The sequence below is a fragment of the Homo sapiens genome, chromosome 15 (assembly GCF_000001405.40).
Source record: "Homo sapiens chromosome 15, GRCh38.p14 Primary Assembly".
Taxonomy (NCBI): Eukaryota; Metazoa; Chordata; class Mammalia; order Primates; family Hominidae; genus Homo; species Homo sapiens.
The window spans coordinates 60,331,392-60,337,391 of NC_000015.10; positions in this window are offsets into that span (position 1 = coordinate 60,331,392).

Sequence of the window (6,000 nt, forward strand, 5' to 3'; positions counted from 1 at the left end):
GAGTTTGAGACCAGCCTCACCAACATGGTGAAACCCCATCTCTACTAAAAAAACAAAACTTAGCTGGGCGTGGTGGCACACACCTGTAATCCCAGCTACTCTGGAGGCTGAGGCAGGAGAATCACTTGAACCAGGAAGGTGGACGTGGCAGTGAGCCAAGATCTCACCACTGCACTCCAGCTTGAGTGACAGAGTAAGACTCTATCTCACCAGTATTCAACATTCTTAAATAAAAGAATTTTCAAACCAGAATCTCATATCCAGCCAAACTAAGCTTCATAAGTGAAGGAGAAATAAAATCCTTTACAGACAAGCAAATGCTGAGAGATTTTGTCACCACTAGGCCTGCCTTACAAGAGTTCCTGAAGGAAGCACTAAACACGGAAAGGAACAACTGGTACCAGCCACTGCAAAAACATGCCAAATCATAAAGACCATCAACACTATGAAGAAACTGCATCAATTAACAGGCAAAATTACCAGCTAACATCGTAATGACAGGATCAAATTCAAGCATAACAATATTAACCTTCAATGTAAATGGGCTAAATGCTACAATTAAAAGACAGACTGGTAAATTGGACAAAGAGTCAAGACCCATCTGTGTGCTGTATTGAGGAGACCCATCTCACAATGCAAAGACACACATAGGCTCAAAATAAAGGGATGGAGGAAGATCTACCAAACAAATGGAAAACAACAAAAAAGCAGGAGTTGGAATCCTAGTCTCTGATAAAACAGACTTTAAACCAACAAAGATGAAAAGAGACAAAGAAGGCCACTACATAATGGTAAAGGGATCAATTCAACAAGAAGGGCTAACTATCCTAAATATATATGCACCCAATACAGGAGCACCCAGATTCATAAAGCAAGTCCTTAGAGACCTACAAAGAGACTTAGACTCACACACAATGATAGGAGACTTTAACACCCCACTGTCAATATTAGACAGATCAATGAGACACAAGGTTAACAAGGATATCCAGGACCTGAACTCAGCTCTGCAACAGGCAGACCTAATAGACATCTACAGAACTCTCCACCCCAAATCAACAAAATATACATTATTCTCACCACCACATCGCACTTATTCTAAAACTGACCACATTGTTGGAAGTAAAGCACTCCTCAGCAAATACTGTCTCTCAGACCACAGTGCAATCAAACTAGAACTCAGGATTAAGAAACTCACTCAAAACCGCTCAACTACATGGAAACTGAACAACCTGCTCCGGAATGACTGCTGGGTACATAATGAAATGAAGGCAGAAATAAAGATGTTCTTTGAAACCAATGAGAACAAAGACACAATGTACCAGAATCTTGGGGACACATTTAAAGCAGTGTGTAGAGGGAAATTTATAGCACTAAATGCCCACAAGAGAAAGCAGGAAAGATCTAAAATCGTCACCCTAACATCACAATTAAAAGAATTGGAGAAGCAAGAGCAAACACATTTAAAAGCTAGCAGAAGGCAAGAAATAACTAAGATCAGAGCAGAACTGAAGGAGACAGACACACAAAAAACCCTTCAAAAAAATCAGTGAATCTGAGAGCTGGTTTTTGAAAAGATCAACAAAACTGATAGACTGCTAGCAAGATTAATAAAGAAGAAAAGAGAGAAGAATCAAATAGACACAATAAAAAGTGATAAAGGGGATATCACCACGGATCCCACAGAAATACAAACTACCATCAGAGAATACTATAAACACCTCTACGCAAATAAACTAGAAAATCTAGAAGAAATGGATAAATTTCTGGACACATACACCCTTCCAAGACTAAACCAGGAAGAAGTTGAATCTCTGAATAGACCAACAACAGGCTCTGAAATTGAGGCAATAATTAATAGCCTAACAACCAAAAAAAGTCCAGGACCAGATGGATTCACAGCCAAATTCTACCAGAGGTACAAAGATGAGCTGGTACCATTCCTTCGGAAACTATTCCAATCATCATTTTATGAGGCCAGCATCCTCCTGATCCCAAAGCCTGGCAGACAAAAAAAGAGAATTTTAGACCAATATCCCTGATAAACATTCATGCAAAAGTCATCAATAAAATACTGGCAAACCAAATCCAGCAGCACATCAAAAAGCTTATCCACCACGATTAAGTTGGCTTCAACCCTGGAATGTAAGGCTGGTTCAACATACACAAATCAATAAACATAATCCATCACATAAACAGAACCAATGACAAAAACTGCACAATTATCTCAATAGATGTAGAAAAGGCCTTTGACAAAATTCAGCAGCCCTTCATGCTGAAAACTCTCAATAAACAAGGAACTGATGGAACGTATCTCAAAATAATAAGAGCTATTTATGATAAACCCACACCCAATATCATACTGAATGGGCAAAAACTGGAAGAATTTCCTTTGAAAACTGGCACAAGAAAGGGATGCCCTCTCTCACCACTCCTATTCAACATAGTGTTGGAAGTTCTGGCCAGGGTAATCAGGCAAGAGAAAGAAATAAAGGGTATTTGATTAGGAAAAGAGGAAGTCAAATTGTCCCTGTTTGCAGATGACATGATTGTATATTTAGAAAACCCTATCATCTCAGCCCAAAATCTCCTGAAGCTGATAAGCAACTTCGGCAAAGTCTCAGGATACAAAATCAATGTGCAAGAGTCACAAGCATTCCTATACACCAATAACAGACAAACAGAGAACCAAATCATGAGTGAACTCCCACTCACAATTGCTTCAAAGAGAATAAAATACCTAGGAATCCAACTTACAAGGGATGTGAAGGACCTCTTCAAGGAAAAACTACAAACTGCTGCTCAATGAAATAAAAGAGGACACAAACAAATGGAAGAACATTCCATGCTCATGGATAGGAAGAATCAATATCGTAAAAATGGCCATACTGCCCAAGGTAATTTATAGACTCAATGCCATCCCCATCAAGGTACCAATGACTTTCTTCACAGAATTGGAAAAAACTACTTTAAAGTTCATATGGAACCAAAAAAGAGCCTGCATTGCCAAGACAATCCCAAACAAAAAGAACAAAGCCGGAGGCATCATGCTACCTGACTTCAAACTATACTACAAGGCTACAGTAACCACAACAGCATGTTACTGGTACCAGAACAGAGATATAGACCAATGGAATAGAACAGAGGTCTCAGAAATAGCACCACACATCTACAACCATCTGATCTTTGACAAACCTGATAAAAATAAGAAATGGGGAAAGGATTCCCTATTTAATCAATGGTGCTGGGAAAACTGGCTAGCCATATGTAGAAAGCTGAAACTGGATCCCTTCCTTACACCTTATACAAAAATCAATTCAAGATGGATTAAAGACTTAAATGTTAGACCTAACACCATAAAAGCCCTAGAAGAAAACCTAGGCAATACCATTCAGGACATAAGCATGGGCAAGGACTTCATGACTGAAACACAAAAAGCAATGGCAACAAAAGCCAAAATTGACAAATGGGATCTAATTAAAGTAAAGAGCTTCTGCACAGCAAAAGAAACTACCATCAGAGTGAACAGGCAACCCACAGAATGGGAGAAGATTTTTGCAATCTACCCATCTGACAAAGGGCTAATATCCAGAAGCTACAGAGAACGTAAACAAATTTACAAGAAAAAAACAAACAACCCCATTAAAAAGTGGGCAAAGGATATGAACAGACGCTTCTCAAAAGAAGCCATTTATGCAGCCAACAGACACATGAAAAAATGCTCATCATCACTGGTCATCAGAGAAATGCAAATCAAAACCACAATGAGATACCATCTCACGCCAGTTAGAATGGTGATCATTAAAAAGTCAGAAAACAACAGACGCTGGAGAGGATGTGGAGAAATAGAAATGCTTTTACACTGTTGGTGGGAGTGTAAACTAGTTCCACCATTGTGGAAGACAGTGTGGCGATTCTTCAAGGATCCAGAACTAGAAATACCATTTGACCCAGTGATCCCATTACTGGGTATATATCCAAAAGATAATAAATCATGCTACTATAAAGACACATGCACACATATATTTATTGCAGCACTGTTCACAATAGCGAAGACTTGGAATCAACCCAAAACATGCACTGTGATAGTTTGCTCAGAATGATGGTTTCCAGCTGCACCCATTTCTCTGCAAAGGACATGAACATGTTTGCCCTGCAAACATGCACAGGGCAGAAAACCAAACAGTGCATGTTCTCACTTATAGGTGGGAATTGAACAATGAGAACACTTGGACAGAGGGCGGGGAACATCACACCCTGGAGCCTGTCATGGGGTCAGGGGCAGGGGGAGGGATAGCATTACGAGAAATACCTAATGTAAATGACGAGTTAATGGCTGCAGCAAACCAACATGGCACATGTATACCTATGTAGCAAACCTGCACGTTGTGCACATGTACCCTAGAACTTAAAAAAAAAAAAAAAAAAGGAAAGAAAGAAAGAAATATACAAGATAAGCCTGGGGCATCTTGCAGTGTCAGGAAAGTACGGAAGTTCTCATTCTCTCTCTCTCTGTCTGTCTCTCTCTCTCTCTCTAAGCCTGGGGCATCTTGCAGTGTTGGGAAAGTAAGGAAGTTCTCATTCTCTTTCTCTCTCTCTCTCTCTCTCTCTCTCTCTCTCTCTCACACACACACACACACACACACACACACACACCCCCCTAAATTGATGTGTCAAAGAGACACAGGAACCAGCTTAAAGAACTCCCAATGGCCAAAGCTGGAACAATTTGAGCAGCAAAAAAAGTAGTATTGGATTATAACCCAAAGTATAAAATAAATATCCAAAATATCCAAAGTCCATAGTGACATAATAACTGAATAAATAAATAAGAAAGAGAGAAATCTCTTGCTCAGAATTCCAATAATTTGTGTAGCTACTTCACCTCCAAAGAGGTGGATCATAACTCCCTTCTCCTTAAGTGTGGGCCGTACAGTGGCTTCCTTCCAAAAGGTACAGCATGGAAGAGGGACAGGGTTCCCCTGCAGTGGAGACACATGACAAACACTGCCTCAGCCAGATGACCAACATTAACTTCGCTAATGACAAATCATGTCAATAGGATGCCCCTTGATATAAGAGGATGAAAATGGCATTTTACCTCTGTGGTTTTCTTCCAAAAAACATATTACCCCAAGCTAATCATGAGATAAAAGTCAGACAATTCTCAATTGAGAGAAATTCTACAAAACAGATCAGTAATCTTCAAAATGTCAATGTCATTACAAACAAGGCAAGCCTGAGAAACTGTCACAGACACAAGGGGCCTGAGAGACGTGACATCTAAATGTAGTGTGATGTCCTGGATATGACCCTCAATCAGGAGAAGGACACGAGGGAAAAACCAAGGACATTAGAATAAACTACGGGCTTCAGTTAATAATAGCGCATCAGTGCTAGGGTAAAAATTGTGACAAATGTATTATACTAATATACCATGTTAACAGGGAAAACTCGGTATAGGGAATATAGGTATTCTGTATTATCTTCACAATAATTTTGTGAATCTGAAACTTTTCTAAAATTCAAAGTTTAGTTTAAAAAATGATGCCGGGCATGGTGGTTCATACCTGTAATGCCAAGGCTCTAGGAGGCTGAGGCAGGAGGATCGTTCGAGCCCAGGGGTTTGAGGTTGCAATGAGCTGTGATTGCGTTGCTGCACTCCAGCCTAGGTAACAGAGCAACACCCCGTCTCTAACATTTTCCAATTTGTGCATACAAAGCTAATGGGTAAATTTTCTTCCATTTTTATTAAAATCCTGGTGCATCCACTCTCGCAGAGATGTGGAAGTAGGTTTGGATCCCGCCTCTTACTAGCCATGTGACTCTGGGAAAGTCACTGAACCTCAGGCCTCACACCAGTCAAATGGGAATTCAATACCATGAACTATATCAAGCATCAGTGCCTGGCACCTCAGAACATGTAACCTCAGAACGTTGCTTTTATTAGCTAGCTCATGTGGATTGGACAACAAAACAAATGTCTGGGTAGTAAATCAATTT